This window comes from Homo sapiens, chromosome 19 (genome assembly GCF_000001405.40).
Source record: "Homo sapiens chromosome 19, GRCh38.p14 Primary Assembly".
Classification (NCBI taxonomy): domain Eukaryota; kingdom Metazoa; phylum Chordata; class Mammalia; order Primates; family Hominidae; genus Homo; species Homo sapiens.
Genome location: NC_000019.10, coordinates 744,982 through 765,285, shown reverse-complemented (window position 1 = coordinate 765,285; position 20,304 = coordinate 744,982). Strand labels below are relative to the sequence as shown.

At 58.1% G+C, this 20,304-nt stretch overlaps 2 protein-coding genes across 9 annotated transcripts in view; both read right to left on the bottom strand.

Moving 5' to 3' along the window:
* Positions 1–967: 967 nt before the first annotated feature.
* On the bottom strand, positions 968–16,848 carry MISP (mitotic spindle positioning). 4 transcript variants are annotated; one of them, XM_011527685.3, is made up of 5 exons: positions 16,770–16,848; positions 6,560–8,396; positions 5,247–5,377; positions 3,623–3,661; positions 968–1,785 (listed from the first exon to the last, which is right to left on the bottom strand). In XM_011527685.3, exons 2-5 carry the CDS (start codon positions 8,337–8,339, stop codon positions 1,696–1,698), a joined length of 2,040 nt encoding a protein of 679 aa, XP_011525987.1. In that variant the 5' UTR covers positions 8,340–8,396; positions 16,770–16,848; the 3' UTR covers positions 968–1,695. The 4 variants fall into 4 exon arrangements, 3 of the variants coding, with proteins under 3 accessions (XP_011525987.1, NP_775752.1, XP_011525988.1); NM_173481.4 differs by lacking the exon at positions 16,770–16,848 and adding an exon at positions 14,115–14,174; XM_011527686.3 differs by lacking the exon at positions 16,770–16,848 and adding an exon at positions 10,477–10,839.
* Positions 16,849–16,956: 108 nt separating this feature from the next.
* The window catches only part of PALM (paralemmin), a 39,395-nt gene continuing 36,047 nt past the window's right edge, over positions 16,957–20,304 (bottom strand). For all 5 annotated transcript variants that reach the window (NM_002579.3, NM_001040134.2, XM_017026850.3 and 2 more), the window contains one exon: positions 16,957–19,001. In NM_002579.3, coding sequence (NP_002570.2) covers positions 18,472–19,001 — 530 coding nt within the window. In that variant the 3' untranslated portion in view covers positions 16,957–18,471. The remainder of the gene's footprint in view (positions 19,002–20,304) is intronic.

The window sequence follows — 20,304 nt, the reverse complement described above, 5'->3', positions numbered from 1 at the left end:
AGCCTGGGATCTCTGTGAAGGCAGATGCCTCCTCCATCAGACTGGGGTCTCCCTGAAGACAGGGGCTCTCCCTCCTCCCTCAGTCTCTGCTCTGCCCAGATGTAGCCCCTCAGCCCCCTTCCCCCGCCTCCCCAGGGTCCCCACAGCCCCCACTGCCCAGCTATTTCGGTTCCACATCTGCCTGCCTGGGCCCGGCGTGGCTGCGCGGTTTTCCCTGAGGCAGCGCAGCGGACACTGAGCAGCCAAGGAGGAGACACTGGCCTAGGTGTAATTAACACCCGCTGCTCCCAGCAGGGTTGGGGGAGCCTGGGGGCCGAGGCCTGCTTTGGGGGGTGTCTGAGGACACGCCCCTGCCATCAGGCACTGAATCCAACGTCAATGGTCCCCATGTGCCGAGAGCTTTACGTAAATTAACTCCTACTGCCCGGGAGCCTGGTCCTATCGTTATCCCTGTGTGTCAGAGGGAAACTGAGGCATGGGGCAGTGAGAGGACCCCCCCCCACCCAAGGCCACACAGCAGGCAGCAGAGCCAGGACTTGGGTCCAGCGCCCACGCCTCTGACCAGTAGGATCTGGCTTCCCTGGATGTGAGCCTGGTATACATGCGGAGCCGAATTAATGACCCTCCGGCCTCCTCTGAGACCAGAGTGGTGAGGGATTCAGCAAATGCTTAATAAGCACCCTGGGTACTGCGATGGACGTGGTGAGACGGGGCTGGAGGAGCCGGGCTGGTGAGGTTGGGCCCCGGGCCTGGTGTTGCTGAAGGTGCCTCTCCATGATCAATTGTCAGTCACTCAACAAGCATCAGCTAAGCACCTACTGCATGCAGATGCTGGCAACCCCCCCATGGGAACCTGACAGCCCCACAGGCTCACGGCCTAGCGGGGTGGAACCTAATGTCGCCAAGAAAATGAAACAGAGAGTGGAGGCCCAGGGGACTTTGTCCGGACCAGGCAGGGACCAAGGCAGGCAGCTCACTCCAGGTTTATTTCAGGGCAGTTTGGGGGTGGGGGACAAAGACCCCCCTCCAGCTCCTAAACTGGGTCACTTTTCTCCCAGGTGAAGGGGACCATCCTCATGGGATCCTATCGATGTGAGAGCTTTGTGTCCACCAGGTGTGGCTGGGTGCACCAAGGTGAAGGGTTTGAGGGCTGCACAGGGACCCCCAGCACTGGGAGTTTGGCCTCCTCCCTCAGACTGGATGGTTTCCCAGGGTTGGAAAGGGGCAGGTCTCCCCTCTCAGCTTGGGACTTCTCAGAGGGAGGAGCTGAGTGTCTCCTCCCTCAGACCCGCAGCCCCTCAAGGTGCTGCGATCTGTGCCACCCTCTTTGACCGGTCCCTCTGCCCTCAGACTAGCGGAAGCAAATTACACCTGAAAGTGGAGGAGCGGGTCTCTTTCTTTCTTAGACCCAGGGCATTTGGCAAAGTCTTAGAAGCAGAAAGAATCAGCAGGGGTCCCATTTCATCCCCAAAAGCTTTAGACCCCAAAGGCAGAAACATTTCTAAAGGAAGATAGAAACGGAAACGAAAAACCCAACAGTCCCAAATGTGCCCATGGTGGGATTGTTGGCAGATGAGCTGTGGTTCTTGGATCCTGGACCTAGGACCCATTTCCTAGGGTGGGGGCTTGGCGATGGTCTTGGCAGTTCCCACGAGGGTCAGGGCAGGGCAGGGGGTGGGCGCCCCATCCCGAGGCTCAGTCATCCTCCTCACTGGCGTAGATGCGGGATTCCCAGCGCTCTGCCATGGCGTTCTTGTGACGGGTCACCCGTATGGCTTCCAGGACCTGCAAAAAGGAGGCATGAATTCCCCCGATCCAGGTCCTACCACACCCCCAAGATGTCTCCTCCAACTGCCAATTCATTAGAGAGGCCTAGAACGGGGGTAAAGTAGGATCCCCTCCTCTGTTTCAGACCCTCTACTCCTAGTAATATGATCAAAGAATATGCTAACTCATGCTGAGCTCCAGGGCAGGAAAAATGTCTGTATTTGGCTTTTTTGTTTGTTTTTGAGATGGAGTCTCACTTTGTTGCCCAGGCTGGACTGCAGTGGCGCGATCTTGGCTCACTGCAAGCTCTGCCTCCCAGGTTCACACCATTCTCCTGCCTCAGCCTCCTGAGTAGCTGGGACTACAGAGGCCCGCTACGGCGCCTGGCTAATTTTTTGTATTTTTAGTAGAGATGGGGTTTCACCATGGTCTCGATCTCCTGACCTCATGATCCTCCCGCCTCGGCCTCCCAAAGTGCTGAGATTACAGGCGTGAGCCACCGTGCCTGTCCAATGTATTTGGCATTTCGGATTCAGCTCAAAGAGGGGTCAGGCGATAGTGGCTCATGCCTATAATCCCAGAAATTTGGTGTGCTGAGGTGGGAGGATCCCTTGAATGCAGGAATTCGAGACCAGCCTGGGCAACCTAGTGAGACTCTGCCTGTACAAAAATAAATAAATAAATAAATAAAAATAAACTATCTGGGTGCAGTGGCACATTCCTATGTTCCTACTTGGGAGGCTGAGGTGGGAGGATTGCTTGAGCCCAGGAGGTCAAGGTTGCAGTGAGCTGGGACCACATCATAGCACTCCAGCCTGGGTGACAGAGTGAGAGCCTGTCTCAAAAAAGTAAAAATAAAAAAAAATAAAAATAAAAAGGAGGGCCACACACGTGTGCCATAAACCGACTGAGGGGGCTTGGCTTGAATAGTCTCAGATGCATACCTTCCTCAAAGAAAGTGCCTTTGGCTGGGTGCGGTGGCTCACACCTGTAATCCCAGCACTTTGGGAGGTGGAGGCGGGAGGATTACCTGAGGTCAGGAGTTCGAGACCATCCTGGCCAACATGGTGAAACCCCATCTCTGCTAAAAATACAAAAATTAGCTGGGCATGGTGGTGGGTGCCTGTAATCCCAGCAACTTGGGAGGCTGAGGCAGGAGAATCGCTTGAACCTGAAAGGCGGAAGTTGCAGTGAGCCGAGGTCAAGCCACTCCACTCCAGCCTGGGCAACAGAGCGAGACTCCATCCTCCCAAAAAAACATTGCCTTGGCCGGGCGCGGTGGCTCGCGCCTGTAATCCCAGCACTTTGGGAGGCCGAGGCGGGTGGATCACGAGGTCAGGAGATCGAGACCATCCTGGCTAACACGGTGAAACCCCGTCTCTACTAAAAATACAAAAAAAAAAAATAGCCGGGCGTGGTGGTGGGCGCCTGTAGTCCCAGCTACTCGGGAGGCTGAGGCAGGAGAATGGCGTGAACCCGGGAGGCGGAGCTTGCAGTGAGCCGAGATCGCACCACTGCACTCCAGCCTGGGCGACAGAGCGAGACTCTGTCTCAAAAACAAAAACAAAAACAAAAACAAAAAAAAAGCAACATTGCCTTTGTTTGGGGTCTAACCTCACAAACCTTCACCACGTGGTGGAGAGGTGGCATGTGAACCCTCTTCTCCTAATCCATGCCCATGGCAGACATCACAAGCAGATCACAGCAAAATCCACCCTGAGCAGACACTACCAATTGAGAAGACACCCAATACGATCCCCACACCTGGAGGAAGGGGCTTCCGTTGGCCCCTGTGTGCAGGGGCACAGATGTGGGGGGGAAAGACTTGAGTCTTCGTGCCCAGGAGCATACTCACCTCTGAGTTGATACCGTCCGAGGGGTTGATGCCAGCGTACTACAGGAAAGGAACACAAGTCAGCCCAGGCCTTTCTGCCCTGCCCGGTGCAGAGTCCGACCAGAGCTCCCACACAGCCCTCTCTGTCACCATTTGGGGAAGAGTGGAAGGCATCCCCTGCCCTGAGTGTTCTCAACACGTGTCCCACGATCACCCAGACTCACAGCCATCCCCCTTGCTGTTCCTCATGCTGTTCCCCTCAGTGCAGCCTCTGTCCAACATTCATGATTTATTTAATTTAATTAATTAATTTATTTATTTATATTGGGTCTGAGTCTTGCTCTATCACCCAGGCTGGAGTGCGGTGGTGCGATCTCGGCTCACTGCAACCTCCACCTCCCGGATGGAGCCTCCCTAGCAGCCTCCCTTTAGCCAGGAGTGGTGGCACGTACCTGTAATTCCAGCTACACGGGAGGCCGAGGCAGGAGAATCGCTTGAACCCGGGAGGCAGAGGTTGCAGTGAGCCAAGATCGTGCCACTGCACTCCAGCCTGGGTGACAGAGCGAGACTCCATCTCAAAAAAAAAAAAAAAAAAAAAAGGACATAATATTCCTCATGGCACTAAATATTCCTCGTGTCATTAAAAGTGACGTGAGGAATATTTCATACTGACAAAAGGAGCTCTCATCCAAGAGGATAAACATACATGAACAATTACATGTCTAACAACAAGGCATCAAAATTCATAAAGTAAAACCCCTAAGGCAAAGCTCTGTGGCCTGTAGGTCCTGGAGTCAAGCCTGGGTTCATGAGCTGCCTAACCCTGGGCATGTGAGACCACCAGGGTGCTAAAGGTGTGGTTCATTGGAAGCCCCGAGCCAGCGTGTGACAGACACATCCCTCCGTCTCTCCCTCTCCCTCCCTCCCTTCCTTCCTCGCTTTGTTCCTTCCTTCCCTCCATCCCTCCCTCCCTCCTGCCTTCTCTCTCTCTCTCTCTCTTTCTTAGAAGTAAATATCTGTGGCCAGGTGCAGTGGCTCATGCCTATAATCCCAGCACTTTGGGAGGCCCAAGTGGGCAGGTCACTTGAGATCGGTTTGAGACCAGCCTGGCTAACATGGTGAAACCACGTCTCTACTAAAAATACAAAAAAATTAGCCGGGCGTGGTGGTGCACGCCTGTAATCCCAGCTACTCAGGAGGCTGAGGCAGGAGAATCACTTCAACCCGGGAGGTGGAGGTTGCAGTGAGCCGAGATCGTGCTACTGCACTCCAGCCTGGGCGACAGAGTGAGACTCCGTCTCAAAAAAAAAAAAAAAAAAAGAAACTAATGCTGGTGACGATGACAAATTGCCAGTGTCCTCCTCCTCCAAGCAGAGTTGGTCCTTTGGTCTTTGATCCTGGAGATGACCTCCTGATGGGGACAAAGACCCCAGCTTATATGGCCTCTCCAAGCAGAAGCCCAGAGATACAAGGACACCAAGTTTATCATCTTCTACCTGACATCTGCAGGAGACTGAGGCACGGCCAGGGGTGGGGGTAGTGCTTGAACCCAGGTCAGGCTTGAGTCCTGCTTGAACTTCCTGTGGCCCTAATAGGGGCTGTCTGACCTCAGCCTGGCCTCTGCAGAGACGGGTTCCAGACTCACCCATTGCTCCTTCTTTCTCTGCCCGGGAGGAGCACTGTCCACTGGATCTTCCACTGTCCACGCCACGTTTGAGTGTAGGTGGATGGGGCTGAAGAAGGGAGACTCAGACACCGAGTAACTGCCCGTGATGCCTGTAGGGGAGCAGGGAGGGCAGAACATTAGAACATTTGTCAGACCTCTGCTCGGGAGACAGAGTCTCTAGCCAGCAGCTAAGGAGACAGATGTATGGACAGACAGAGCAGATGACTATCCGGGAAACTGACAGATTGACCAAAGTAGCCAGTCAGGAGAAACTGGATGCACAGATGGGCCGACATGCAAGGTGAAGAACATTAAAAGTGGCCGGGCGCGGTGGCTCACGCCTGTAATCCCAGCACTTTGGGAGGCCGAGGTGGGTGGATCACGAGGTCAGGAGATCGAGACCGTCCTGGCTAACACGGTGAAACCCCATCTCTACTAAAAATACAAAAAAATTAGCCAGGCGTGGAGGCAGGCGCCTGTAGTCCCAGCTACTCAGGAGGCTGAGGCGAGAGAATGGCGTGAACCCGGGAGGCGGAGCTTGCAGTGAGCCGAGATCGCGCCACTGCACTCCAGCCTGGGTGACAGAGCGAGACTCCATCTCAAAAAAAAAAAAAAAAAACATTAAAAGTGACACAAGGAATATTTCATATTGTCAAAAAGGTGCAACTGTCCAAGAGGATAAACATATATGAACAGGCCGGGAGCAGTGGCTCATGCTTGTAATCCCAGCACTTTGGGAGGCCAAGGCAGGGTGGATCGCCTGAGGTCAGGAGTTCAAGACCAGCCTGGCCAACATGATGAAACCTGTCTCTACTAAAAATACAAAAATTAGCCGGGAGTGGTGGTGGGCACCTGTAATCCCAGCTACTCAGGAGGCTGAGGCAGGAGAATCGCTTGAACCCAGGAGGTGGAGGTTACAGTGAGTTGAGATCCTGCCACTGCACTCCAGCCTGGGCGACAGAGCGAGACTCCGTCTCAAAAAAGAAAACCGAAAAACAAAAAACAAAAACAAAAACAAAACACACAAAACATATATGAACATTTATGCGCCTAACAACAAGGCATCCAAATCCATAAAGCAAAAGCCCTAAGGTAAAGTTGACATTTCTCTCCAAAATCTACATTTTTAATAGACAGGCAGACAAACCAGCGACTGAGGGGATGAACAGTCAGGAGGCAATGTCTCCCCAACCCCAGCCCTTTGACAGCCTCAAACTCCACCTCCCCACCCTCCCCTGCTCCAACCTCTGAGACCCTGAGCCAAGCAGCCACTCCCTGGAGCCCCTTCTCACCGGATGCCTGGGAGGAGCTCCTGGAGTTCTGGTCAGAGTTCTCATCTGGCGTTGGGGAGAAGACCTCTGGGAAGAGAGCATTTCTCCGCTCCTCTGCCACCTCTTGCTCCCGGCGCAGGACACTCTCCCTCTCCCTTTCCAGCAGATCAGATGACTGGGACTTCTGCAGCCTCAGTGCAGGGGCCCCAGCCACCTCCCAGCCCCAGACATGGGGGACTTGGGCCTGCTGGGGCTCGTCTGGGGCCCTGAACCGCAGAGGACGCAGGCGGAAGTACTCCCACCGCACGACACCCCTGTTGGCTTGCGGGCATCCCCGAGGGGGCTTCGATGCCTCTTGCTTTGTGCTCAGGGGTTTTCCAGAGGATTCTGAGAGATGCCTCGGGGACATCGTGGCCTTTGGTGAAGTCGCAGCCTTGGCCTCCGCTGTGGAGAGACTGCTGGGCTTGCCGAATGCTCCGAAGGCTGAGAATTCTAGCTGGGGGGTCCCGGGGCTCAGGTACGGCTGGTAGGCATCAGGTGGGATGCGGTTCACCTTCCTCACTTCTGGAGCTGGGTCGGCCGCACGGGCATCTGGGGCCGGGCTGAGGATGGAATCTGAGCTGAGGGCTCTCCGGAGTCCGGGCTGGGGACCCTCCGAGACCCAGTCGGGTGTGGACGCCCGGCCCACGTGCAGGCCCTCCCGCCGGTGGTCTTCCTCACGCTGTGTCTCCTGTACTATGTCCCGCTGCACGTAGAGGGACGGGCGCCCTCTCTCCCGCCGTGGGGCTGTGATCAGGCTCAGCTTGGTCAGCAGCGGCCTGGTGGGGATTTCCACCAGCTCCTGGTGGTCGGTTGCCTGCCGAAGCCCCCTCTGCTCTCGCAGGTCTGCCTCACGCTCCTGAGCCAGACGGATCTCCCGCTCGATGGGCGTCTCCTTGGGGGTCCCCGGGGACTCCACTGAGGCCAAGGAGCCAGGGTCATCCACAACTTGGACACTGGCCCAGGTGGGCACAGCACGCACCTTGTTCTCTTCCCTGACCACCCCCTTCACCTGGGGCTTGATGGGAACCACGTGCCCGTTGGCCAGGTGGGGCTTGTTGAAGGCCTTGGGGGCCTGGCTGGCCCCTGGGGTTGTGCCTGCAGGGGTCCCCCTGGCCGGGGAGCTATGAGGGGCCCCCTTGTTCGCCTGCTCCAGACTCAGGAACTGCTGTCTCGCTGCCAGGAAGTCAATCTGCTCCCTGTCAACCACGTTCTCCTCCAGGGGCGTGGACCGAGGTGGGCCGGGGGTCCTGGGGTCTCCGTGGTCAGGAGTGCCCTGGAGCGTGGCCACGGTGCTGCTCTTCCTGACTGCCTGGCCCTGGATGACGGCCCAGCGCTCCCGCTCCAGGTCACACAGCCTCCTGGGGTCAGCGTCCCCAGCATCCAGGCGGTAGGTCTTCATCTCCTTGTCCTCCCCGTCCTCTGGGCGGAGTGCCCATGTTGGACGTCCCTGGTGGGCATCCCTGGCGCCCAGGCGGTAAACCTGCCAACCCTCATCCTCCCTGTTCTCCGAGTGGAGCCCCCGTGGGGACGGCTGGCCAGTGTAGGCATGCACGCTGTAGGACACCCCCTGCCTCTGCACGCCCTGCTGGGCCCTGTGGTCAGTGGGCCATGTCTGCGGCTCATCCTGGCCCCAGCCGCTGGCCTCGGGGCCCATGCACACCAGATGGTATGTGTAGCTGGTGTCTCCATCCAGCACCAGGCCGGTGCCACGGTGTGCCTGAGGGATGCCCAGGATGGGGTATCTGGTCACGCGGTCCATCTCTTCCGGGGTCTTGGCCTCAGCCTTCCTCCCGTGGGGTGGAGACCTCTGGGCTTACTGAGGGAGGAGAAGGAAATGAGGGCCATCAAGTCAGAGCACCTAGGGAGAGGAACAGCCTCCAGTCCCCCAAAGGGCAAAGGGTCCATCAAATGGCCTTTGTGATTGGTTTAGGGATGGGTAAGTGACACAGTCCAGCCACTCAGAGCAGCCCATTCTCTAACCTCTGTGATTGGTTTAGGGGTGCGTAAGTGACAGTCCAGCCAATCAGTGCATCCCATTCTCTAACCTCTGTGATTGGTTTAGGGGTGCGTGACACAGTACAGCCACTCAGAGCAGCCCATTGTCTAATCTCTGTGATTGGCTAAGGGATAGGTAAGTAACTCAGCCTGGCCAATCAGAGCATCCCACCTTCTGGCCTCTGTGATTGGTTCAAGGATGAGTAAATGGCCCAGCCTGGCCAGTCAGAGTAGCCCATTCTCTGGCCTCTGTGATTGGTTCAGGGATGGGTAAGTGACTCATCCTGATCAATCAGAGCATCCCACCCACTGGCCTCTGTGATTGGTTCAAAGATGGGTAAGTGACCTAGTCCAGCCAGTGAGAGCATTTCACCCTCTGGCCTCTGTAATTGGTTCAGAGATGAGCATGTGACCCAGTCTAGCCAATGACATGAGACCCTGGGACTTTACAATTAATGCAGAAGATGGGACCCTCTTCCCGCTGGTCTTGTTAGGCTGATGGAATGAGATAGTGAATTGCTGGGGACGTAAATGCCCCCAGTGGGTACAGCTTGCTTGACAGCAACCCCAACACCAGCAAAGCATCCTGAAAACTTTTAAGCTCCCTGATTCCAACCATACCTGAATCTCTGAATGTCCCGGTTACTACCCCAACAACTCGCATTATATGTTTCTAACATTTGCAGCCCAATAAAATCAGGGTGCCCTGCCCACCTTATCTCCCAGACACACACACCTGCCCTGTGGAGTCCAGCTCAGCCTTGATTTTTTTTTTTTTGAGATGGAGTCTCGCTCTGTTGCCCAGCCTGGAGTGCAGTGGCACAATGTCAGCTCACTGCAACCTCTGCTTCCAGGTTCAAGCAATTCTCGTGCCTCAGCCTCCTGAGTAGCTGGGATTACAGGCGCTAACCTCCCAAGTCCGGCTAATTTTTTGTATTTTTAGTAGAGACGAGGTCTCACCATGTTGGCCAGGTTGGTCTCGAACTCCTGAGCTCAGGTGATCTGCCCGCCTCGGCCTCCCAAAGTGCTGGAATTACAGGCGTGAGCCACCGCGCCTGGCCTCAGCCTTGATCTCTGAAGCCTTCCTTGGCCGCACCATATTTATCTGTGTCTCCTGTGCACTGAGCCTTTCCACCCTGAGCTCACTCTGAGACTCCTGGTGTGGGATTTTTCCATCTGACAATTACAGATGGCCCCTTGCTAAGGGATGTCAAATGGAGAAACTGAGGCCCAGAGAGAAGGACTGACAGCAACTCCAGTTTCCCGGCTCCCACATCCTGGTTCTCCACCCTGCCCTGCCCAGCTGGACACCTCGTCCCATCTGAGACAACATCCCCGCCTGGGCCTTGTCGCCATAAAGCCAGGATGGGCAAAGGAACACCGTGGACCTTGTCCCGCTGGGCCCAGGTGGGGCCGTGGAGCGAGCGGGTGACACCCTGACCCAGTGCCTTCCGGCTCTCGCCCTCTCCCAAGGGTCCAGGTTGCTGCTGGGCTCAGTTCCAGGAGCCTTCCCGGAGGTCACACACCTGCTCGCATCGCTTCTGTGGCTCCTGGCATCTGCAGGGCACAGTTCTCACACCCTGCTCCTGGCCTTAGCACGAAACCCCAATTTCTGTGGGCACCTCCACCCCAAGCCAGGCCCTCCTCTTCTACCCCAAACCAGACCCTCCTCTTCCACCCCAAACCAGGCCCTCCTCTTCCACCCCAAACCAGGCCCTCTTCCTCCACCCCAAGCCAGGCCCTCCTCTTCCACCCCAAACCAGACCCTCCTCTTCCACCCAAACCAGACCCTCCTCTTCCACCCAAACCAGGCCCTCTTCCTCCAACCCAAACCAGACCCTCCTCTTCCACCCCAAACCAGGCCCTCTTCCTCCACCCCAAACCTCGCCCTCCTCCTCTACCTGCAGCTCTCTCTGTCTCGAGGCTGCCTGTTTCTGCTTCTCCACGGCTTCCTCTGCTGAAGCCCATGGACACCTCCTCCAGGAAGTAACCCAGATTGCCCCTCCCCCAGAGCCATCATCTGAACACCTCCTTCATGTCAGGCCTTGTACCCAGCACCCGTCTTAGGTATTGTCTTTTGTTTTGAGACAGAGTCTCGCTGCGATGCACAGGCTGGACTGCGGTAGCGTGATCTCAGCTCACTGCAATCTCCACCTCCCGGGTTCAAGCAATTCTCCTGCCTCAGCCTCCTGAGTAGCTGGGACTACGGGCACCCGCCCCCACACCCGGCTAATTTTTTCTTTTTTTTGAGGCGGAGTCTCACTCTGTCGCCCAGGCTGGAGTGCAGTGGCGCGATCTCGGCTCCCTGCAAGCTCTGCCTCCCAGGTTCACGCCATTCTCCTGCCTCAGCCTCCCTAGAGCTGGGACTACGGGCGCCCGCCACCACGCCTGGCTAATTTTTTGTATTTTTAGTAGAGACGGGGTTTCACCATATTAGCCAGGATGGTCTTGATCTCCTGACCTCGTGATCCTCCCGCCTCGGCCTCCCAAAGTGTTGGGATTACAGGCGTGAGCCACCGCGCCCAGCCAGGACACCCGGCTAATTTTTGTATTGTTAGTAGAGACGGGTTTCACCATGTTGGCCAGGCTGGTCTTGAACTCCTGACTTCAGGTGATCCGCCTGCCTCGGCCTCCCAAAGTGCAGGGATTACAGGCGTGAGCCACCGTGTCCAGCAGACATCATCTTTCATAGTTGAGGAAAGGAAGCCTCACCTGAAGACACAGGGATCTCAAAAGCTTGAGCTCCTGACTCCTAAAAAAAGCACTGTCGGCTGGGCACAGGGGCTCAGGCCTGTAATCCCAGCTACTTGGGAGGCTGAGGTGGGAGAATCACTTGAACCTGTGAGGTGGAGGTTGCGGTGAGCTGAGATTGTGCCATTGCACTCCAGCCTGGGTGACAGAGAAAGACCCTGTCTCAAAAGAAAAACAAACCCCCACAAAGCAGGACTGTCGCTCCCGGGCCACCAAGGCTATTATTTAGATCTGCTGCCTTTACACCAACCAGCAGCATTTTTTTTTGTTTTTAAACAGACAGGGTCGGCCAGGCACAGTGGCTCACACCTGTAATCCCAGCACTTTGGCGGATCACGAGGTCAGGAGATCGAGACCATCCTGGCTAAAATGGTGAAACCCCATCTCTACTAAAAATACAAAAAAAATTAACCGGGTGTGCTGGCGGGCGCCTGTAGTCCCAGCTACTCAGGAGGCTGAGGCAGGAGAATGCTGTGAACCCGGGAGGTGGAGCTTGCAGGGAGCTGAGATCGCACCATTGCACTCCAGCCTGGTGACAGAGCTAGACTCCGCCTCAAAAAAAAAAAAAAAGAAAAAAAGAAAAAAAAAGAAAAACTTAGCCCCTCTCTGAACTGGAAAGTGGCATCAAACAGCATAAAGTGGAGAGACCGTGGGGAGCCGTGTTGAAACTACACGCAATGTGTCATGCAATCTTCCGCGCGTATCAAATGTCAGAAACTAAAATAGGGGAAACATTGAAAACCAGGCGGCATTGGTGAATAAATCCCACACAAACAGCTGAGCTTCCTCCCAAAGCGTGACGCACAGATGGCTCCCCTGACCCGAGGCCTCCTCCTCCGTGGACGCCGCCTGCCCAGCTCACGGAAGGCCTTGCCTTCTCCCACCCGAAACCGTCAGCCCAGGCCTCGCTCTCGCCTGCTGTGGCCACAGGTCAGCACCCTTCCTGCAGCCCAGAGTCTGGTATACAGCAGGCGCCTAATAAATACTGGCTGGGCAAACACCACTCATCCCAGCTGCTCAGACGTGGGGGTCGGGCTCATTGCGGAATGCAGACCGGCTCCACCGTGCCTTCTGGCCCTGAAGGGCTGGGCAGGTCCACGCCCTGCACCCTGGAGCTCCCCGGGGAGGGCGGGTGTAGGAATGTTTGCCCAGTGAGTGGACAGACGTTTACACAGCGGGATTTATAACCCACATCAGACGTCAACTCCGGGAGAAAGGGAGCTGTCCGCCCAGCCTCGAGCAGGTGCCGGGTCTCCCAGTGGGGTCGGGGTTGGGTGGGGATGAAGGCACGCATCCTCCTCTGCTCATTCCTCCCCAGTGATTCACTGAAGCCAGCGGGTGGGGCCTGGGGTCCAGCTCTTGGGTTCAAGGCCACTGGGCCCCCTCCCCTGCTGCCTGTGCCTCAGTGCCCACCCCCGCCCCCCGCTTTTTTTTTTGAGATAGAGTCTCCCTCTGTCGCCCAGGCTGGAGTGCAGTGGCGCGATCTCCATTCACTGCAACCTCTGCCTCCCGGATTCACACCATTCTCCTGCCTCAGCCTCCCAAGTAGCTGGGACTACAGGCGCCCGCCACCACGCCCGGCTAAGTTTTGTATTTTTAGTAGAGATGGGGTTTCACTGTGTCGGCCAAAAAAACCCCTGGATCCACGGCGGCTCTCATGGCCGGCATTCTTGGGCAGCGGCGCTGCCCTCGGGGGAAGAGCCCCAGGACGGAAGATGGCCCCTGCAAGGCCCGGCGGTGGCTAAGGACCTCGGCGTCCTGAGACTCTTCCTGCAACACCTTGGAACCGTTTTCGACTCCGGTTTTCGAGAGAGGGAGCTGGGACCCAGAGAGGAGAACCTGCTCATCTGAGGTCACACAGCGATGACAGAGCAAGTGTCTGAAGCCAGTTTTCAGACTTTGCTCCAAATCACCCCCTCCTACAGGAAGCCCCCTGGGTTGCTCCTCCCAGCCTCACCCTGAACTCTGTTGATACCAGAATGAAACTGGGTTTATGGACCCTGGTGCCACACCTCCTTCCTCATCAGCCAGTTGGCTCTATGTGAGGGGCAAAGGTTCCCTTGTGGGGCCGAGACTCAGACAAGGAGGCCATGCAGAAGGGAGGGCCCCGTTCCTTTTTCCCATCCCTCAGGGTTGCAGTCACCCTTGAGTCATCTCAGCTCCTTGGGCTCCTGGGCGGAGCTCCACCGGCAGACGCTGGGCCGAGTCCCTGCTGGCTGCCCGGGATCCCAGGCTACCACCTCACCCCCACCCGAGGACCCAGGCCAAGTCCCCAGCCCCGGCCTGAGACTCCTTCCGCCTGTACTCAGCCACCCCTCCTCCGTGTCCCCAAACCAGCCCCCAGCCCCACGGGGGTGTTTACTGCCCAGAGCCTCCCAGTCAGGGGCCTGGTGGGACGGATAAGCATCTCTCCAGAAGCCTCTGGAATTCCCAGAACCATGGAGGGGCCCCTCTGGCCTCTGACCATGGGGGTGCCAACCCGGCCCCTCCCTTGGAGGGCTCTGGGATTTGGGGTTCAAAAGCCCCAGCAGAGTTCAGGGACAAGGGCCTCTCTGCTCTCCCAGTGGGTGCCCTTGAGGCCCCAGAGTACCTAGCGGGGGCAGAGGGAAAGGTGCCTCAGGGAGGCTCCGAGGGTGACGGGGTGGGGCAGGGGGCCTCCCTGGATCCCAAGTGCCGCCAGGCAAGCAGACCCCGCCCACAGACACATGACGCTCCCACGCCAAATGTGGATCCAACCGCCCCACACAGGATCCCCGCCCGGCCCGGCCCGGGGCGCCCCCAGCCTCACCTGCCGGCTCCCGGCTCCACAGTCTGCAGCCTCCACTCTGACTCCTCGATGGGCACAGAGGCCTCCCAGCTCCGCCCTGCCCGCCAGGTTGCCAGGGAACAGAGGCCCCACCCAGGGGAGGCAGGTGTGCCCCCTCCCCCCAGCCCCACCTGGGATCAGGAAACAAAGTCCAGAGGAGGAGGAGGGAGAAAGAGGATACCAGGCTGGGCAAGGGCGGGCACCGTGCCCGCTGCCGGCTGCCCCTCCACCCCCAGGGCCTCCAGGTGGCCCCGAGGAGCCAGAACTCAGCCGAAACCTCCCTTGGCTGCCTGGCCCTCCCACCGCCTCTCAGCACCGCTCAGAGAGGGTCAGCAGGTGTCCAGGGCCACACAGCAGCTCAGCGTGCACAGTGGCCTGTGTCTCCTGGGGGGCCGGAGGGGCTGAGTCCCAATCCCGTCCGTGCCTTCTGGCCCAGCCCACCCCTTGGGGCAACTCCCCTAGATGGCCCCCTTCTTGCATAAACCAGGTTTGGCAGACTCGGGGGGGTTTGGTGTGGCCTGGGTTCTGATCCCACCTGACCTCTCTTAGCCCTGTTTTCTCCTCCGGGACGTGGGGGAACATCACGCCCGGGCTCCCTCAGGGCTGCTGGGAGGAATTCCCTAGGCCCCATCCACATAAAAACCCATACGAGGGGGCCGGACTTGGTGGCTCACACCTGTAATCCCAGCACTTTGGGAGGCCGAGGCGGGCGGATCACTTGAGGCCAGGAGTTCGAGACCAGCCTGGCCAACATGGCGAAACCCCGTCTCTACTAAAAATACAAAATTTAGCGGGGTATGGTGGCACGCTATTATAATCCCAGCTACTTGGGAGGCTGAGGCAGAAGAATCACTTGAACCCAGGAGTTGGAGGTTGCAGTGAGCCGAGATCACACCACTGCACTCCAGCCTGGGCGACAAGAGCAAAACTCCAACTCAAAAAAAAAAAAAAAAAAAAAAAAAAAAGAACCGCACGAGGCCGTCAAAAGACCCAGGCCACCCCGAGAGATGGGGACGCAGAGGCCCTCAGGCGCCCATGGTCCTCCTGGATTCTTAGTCAAGGTGCAGAGGCCTTGCTGGGACTGTGGGGAGCCCAGCATCTGTGGGGAAGTCGGGCCACTGGGCCTAGCGCCGTCTATGAGGGCAGGGAACACAGCTGAGGGGGCAGGGACTTCAGTTCCCCAGGCTGGGGCTCTGTCCTGACCTACGCCAGAGGGGCTGCTTGTGGAGCCCCTCTGAACCTCAGTCTCTTCTTCGAGTAAAAAGGCCCCCAGCTACGAATCCAGCAGGGCTGCTCAGGAGGGGGGTGCTTTTTTTGTGTTTTTTTTTTGAGACGGAGTCTCGCTCTTGTCACCCAGGCTGGAGTGCAGTGGCACGATCTCGGCTCACGGCAACCTCCCCTGTTCAAGCAATTCTCCTGCCTCAGCTTCCCTAGTAGCTGGGATTACTGGCATGAGCCACCACGCCCAGCTATTTTTGTATTTTTAGTAGAGACAGGGTTTTGCCACGTTAGCCAGGCTGGTCTCGAACTCCTGACCTCAGGTGATGCCCCCGCCTCAGCCTCCCAAAGTGCTGGGATTACAGGCGCGAGCCACGGCGCCTGGCCAAGATGGGGGTGTTTAAGGACAAATCTGGATAAAGGGCCCCCAAAGGACAGCGTGGCACCTAACGCTGCTGGGTGTGTGAAAGCTCAGGGTGCGCGGCCTCACGGCGCCTCCCACCGCCGCCTCCCGCCACCCCCTTCACGTCCTTTTCTCCCTGGCTTGTAGATAGGGAAACGGAGGTACGGAAAGCTTAAAATCGCGCCTCAGGAATGGCGGGGGTTTAGGCTGGAATTGGAACCTGAGTTCCCTCAGCAGTGCTCTCCACCACACTCACCACCTCATCGGGGAAAACTGAGGCCCCAGCAGGGTGGAGGCTGGATCGCCCATGAGCTGGGGGCACTGTGGAGACGTCCCACGCCCAGGCTGAGGCTGGCCTCCCACTCAGGGCTCCGAAGGCCTATTTTATTTTATTTGAGACAGAGTCTCGCTCTGTCGCCCAGGTTGGAGTGCAGTGGCACGATCTCAGCTCACTGCAGCCTCCGCCTCCCAGGTTCAAGCGATTCTCCTGCCTCAGCCTCCTGAATAGCTAGGATTACAGGCGTGAGCCACCACGCCCGGCTAAGTTTTTGTATTTTTAGTAGAGACAGGGTTTCAGTATGTTGGCCAGGATGGTATCGATCTCTTGACCTTGTGATCCGCCCACCTCGGCCTCCCAAAGTACTAGGATTGCAGGTGTGAAACACCGTGCCCGGCCACGAAGGCTTATTTTACAGATGGGAAAACTGAGGCCCAGAGGAGGCAGCGACTTCTCCAAGACTACAGCGTGAGAGAGTGGGGCTGGCGGGGCAGCACCTTCCCGTGAGCATGACACTGGTCTCTACAGACACCTCCTCCCCAGGCCTCCTGTGTATTTCCCAGGGGCCGGCTTCTCTACAGAGCTTGTGGGTGTCCAGGGGACCCTCTGTCATCACCCAGGGGCTGTGAGCCCAGCAAAGGGAGGAACAAAGGACAGGACGGGGCGGCCGCAGAACCCGAGGGCCCCCCGGGAAGCCAGTCCTGCCCCCCCACAGCAGCCCCTTACAGCCAGGCCTTACCTGCACAGTGGGGATTCCAGCGCCTCCCACCACCCCAAGGCGCTCAGGGTGAGCGGGTGCAGGCAGGTGAAGCCAGCACACCGCAACCCTGCTCAGCCTCCCTTTAATGGCTCAAAGGCCGGCAGGCCCCACCCCCTGGCCTGGCCACGCCTTCCTCGCCAGGTTGAAAGGCAAGAACTCCAGGAACTGGGGCTGTTCACGCTGTTTATTTGCTTCTCTGGGAAAATCAAGAACATCGGGGGCCTCGTCACACACCAGAAGCAGAGGGGGTTATAGCAAGGGCACTTCAGCGAAGGCTCGCGGCTCGAGGGACTCAGGCAGACTCCAGGGAGGAGGAGGGGGTTCCACGGCTGACGCCCAGGTCACCCCCGAGAGGGCCTCTCCTCCCAGCCACCCAGGGGCAGAGCGGAGGCAGGGACCCAGGCTCCCATCCGAGGTGGCCCCTGTACCTGCCCTGCCGAGGCTGCAGGTGGTGACTGGACCAGGAGGTGGCCTGAGCACTGGGCACCAGGCTGGAGGTCCCTAGGGCAGGGACCAAGTTGGGGCCTGGTTGTCCAAAGCCAACGTGTGAGACGGTGTCTGTGAGAATGTGCACGAATGTGCCTCTGGGGACGAGTGTAGCTGCCCCCAGGAGGGAAGCCCCTTGCCACTTCCAATGAGAGGGGGCTGGGGGCAGGCTCACATTGGTCTGGGTGGCAAATGAGGGTCTCCTGCTCCAACCCAAGAGGCTTCCTGTCCCAGGCTGTGTCCCTCCCTCCACTGCCCGGACGTGCTCCAAGCCCAGTAGAGCTGGCAGGTGGGGCCTGATCTCGGGGTATGGTTGGGAAGACCCAGGACCCTGGTCCAAGCAGGATGGAGAAGAGGCCGGGGGCGGCCCCTGGGGTCCCCAAATTAGCACCAGGAGGAAGGAGGGCCCAGTGGGGGCGGGAGCTCGGGACAAGGAGTGGCTCACTCGGTCCCTGCCCTGTGCAGGGGGCAGGTCAATGACCCCTGGTTCGCCCCGTCTAGAAGATAGCCCAGGGGTTACCGGCCCCTCCCGGGTGGGGGCATGTCCCCGGGGTTCCCCCTCCCCCAGACTCCATTGTCCACTGGTTGGGCCCACACAGGGCATAGGGGCACAGCAGAGGGGCCTGTCCTCCACCCAAGACCTTTAGCCCCCAAAGAGGCACGGCCTCACCCCAACTGCCTGAGATTGGGGGGCCAGCGCCTTGGCCAGGGAACCCCATAGAGCCTCACTTCCAGGGCCTGAGCAGGCCTCAGTACCCACCCCCGGCTCCCGGGGCCCTCTCTGGCGGGGTGTCCCCTCAGAGAAAGGCACAGGTAGGAGGCCCAGAGGGTGGCAGGCTGGCCTGGGCCGCGTGGAGGCTGCGGGTCCCACCCGCCAGGACCCCGGTGGGCGCGAGCCGCGTCTGTGAAGCTGCCGTGACATGGGGGGTCCTTGTCTCGGGAAAAGCGGGTCTGTCCTGTCTCTCTCCTACCAGGCACAAGTGCACGGCTCTGGTTCGGGGGGAGTGTTGGGGCGTGGTGACGGGTGGGGGCCCCTGTCCCTCTTTCCAGCGAAAGAAAACTCGGAAGGAACATGTAACAACACGCCAAGTCCTGGACCCGTGAGGCTGTGGGTGGAGGGTGGGCAGGCGCCGGGAGGGGCCGGGCTGGTGGGTGTCTGTGGTGTGGGGTGGGGGCCGGGGTCTCGGGGGCCGGCTCACATGATGGAGCAGCATTTACAACGGTGCTTCTTCATGTCGAGGTCCTGGGGGTCGCTGGTGGTGGCCTCGGGCCCCGCCTGATTCTCTTCCCTGGAGGCGGCCTCCGTGGGAGGCTCGGCAGCACTGCCGTTGGGTGGTGCAGGCTCCTTGGGCTCAGCCGCGTCTTCGATGACCACCAGCTCCGCCGTGATGGTATCTTGAAGGCCCAGCACCTTCTTGGTCTCGGCCTCATCCTCCACGTTCTGGTAACCCATGAAGATCATTGTGACCGGGGGCTCCTGGCCGGGCTGGATCCCCGGCGGGCCGGACGTGGCCTCGCCTGGCTGTGCCTGCACACCGGTGATCTCCCGCCGGGAGGGCGTGGTCCGGGCTGCCCCCTCCACAGCCCCCCGGGTCTCTGCCGCCCCGGCCGTGGACCCTGCCTCGCTCAGCGTGACCTCGTCCGCTTTGTGGATGAGTTCGTCCACCTCGGAGGAGCTCAGGGGGTGGATCCCGTTCTCGGCGGTGCCGTCCACAGCATGGACCACTGTACAAGGAGAGACAGAGAGAATGACCCAGCTCCAGGCAGGAGGGACAGAGAGAGTGACCTGGCTCAGGCAGGAGGGAAACCTTGGCAAGGCTTGTATCCTCCTCCAGGCTAAAGAGGAAATCACGAACTAGATTACACCGTCAGAACTGACAGACAATTAAAGCCCCCTGTTGGCATCTGTGGATGCAGCCAATGCCGTACAATGAGGAAAAAAAATTTTTTTTGAGACGGAGTCTCACTCTGTCGCCCAGGCTGGAGTGCAATGGCGTGATCTCAGCTCACTGCAAGCTCCACCTCCCGGGTTCAAGCGATTCTCCTGCCTCAGCCTCCTGAGTAGCTGGGACTACAGGAATCCGCCACCACGCCCAGCTAATTTTGTATTTTTAGTAGAGACGGGGTTTCTCCATGTTGGCCAGGCTGGTCTCGAACTCCTGACCTCAGGTGATCCGCCCGTCTTGGCCTCCTAAAGTGCTGGGATCACAGGCGTGAGCCACCAGGCCCAGCCGACAATGAGGAAAATTTATAAGCACAAAAACATTTATTAGGAACCAAGAAAGAGTGGAAAGGAATGAATTGGGATTTTTTTTTTTTTTTTCTGAGATGGAGCTGCCCAGGCTGGAGTGCAGTGGTACTGTCTCGGCTCACCGCAACCTCCGCCTCCCTAGTTCAAGCAATTCTCCTGCCTCAGCCTCCTGAGTAGCTGGGATTACAGGCATGCACCAACATGCTTGGCTAATTTTTTGTATTTTTAATAGAGCTGGGGTTTCACTATGTTGGCCAGGCTGGTCTCAAACTCCTGACCTCAAGTCATCTGCCCACCTCAGCCTCCCAAAGTGCTGGGATGACAGGCGTGAGCCACCGCACCTGGCCTGTAATTCCATATTCTTTAGCCAACTAGCTCCCACGTGATCACCCTGAAAAGTAGGGATTCATTTCCGCTGTAAAGATAGCAAAAATGAAAGTTCAAAGAAGGGACACAGCTGGGCCAAGGTCACAGAGCCAAACCCCTGCTCCTTCCCCGCATCGGGGCCTGTTTCTCTTCTACAAGACAGGACCACCCACCCTGGGGAACTGGAGGTTACAGGGATTCTTTCACTTTTTGAGATGGAGTTTCGCTCTTGTTGCCCAGGCTGGAGTGCAATGGCACGATCTCAGTTCACTGCAACCTCCACCTTCCAGGTTCAAGCAATTATCCTGCCTCAGTCTCTAGAGTAGCTGGGATTACAGGCACCTGCCACCACACCAGGCTGATTTTTGTACGTTTAGTAGAGATGGGGTTTCACCACGTTGGCCAGTCTGG

Bases quoted from the DNA above. Each gene is read 5' to 3' on its own strand.
- MISP (XM_011527685.3), bottom strand. From the start codon at position 8,339: ATGGACCGCGTGACCAGATACCCCATCCTGGGCATCCCTCAGGCACAC. The intron at 5,378-6,559 runs GTGAGAAGGGGC...GCTCCCCTACAG, and splicing joins GAGCTCCTCCCAGGCATCCG to GCATCACGGGCAGTTACTCG. The intron at 3,662-5,246 runs GTGAGTCTGGAA...CCTTTCCTGTAG, and splicing joins AGAGAAAGAAGGAGCAATGG to TACGCTGGCATCAACCCCTC.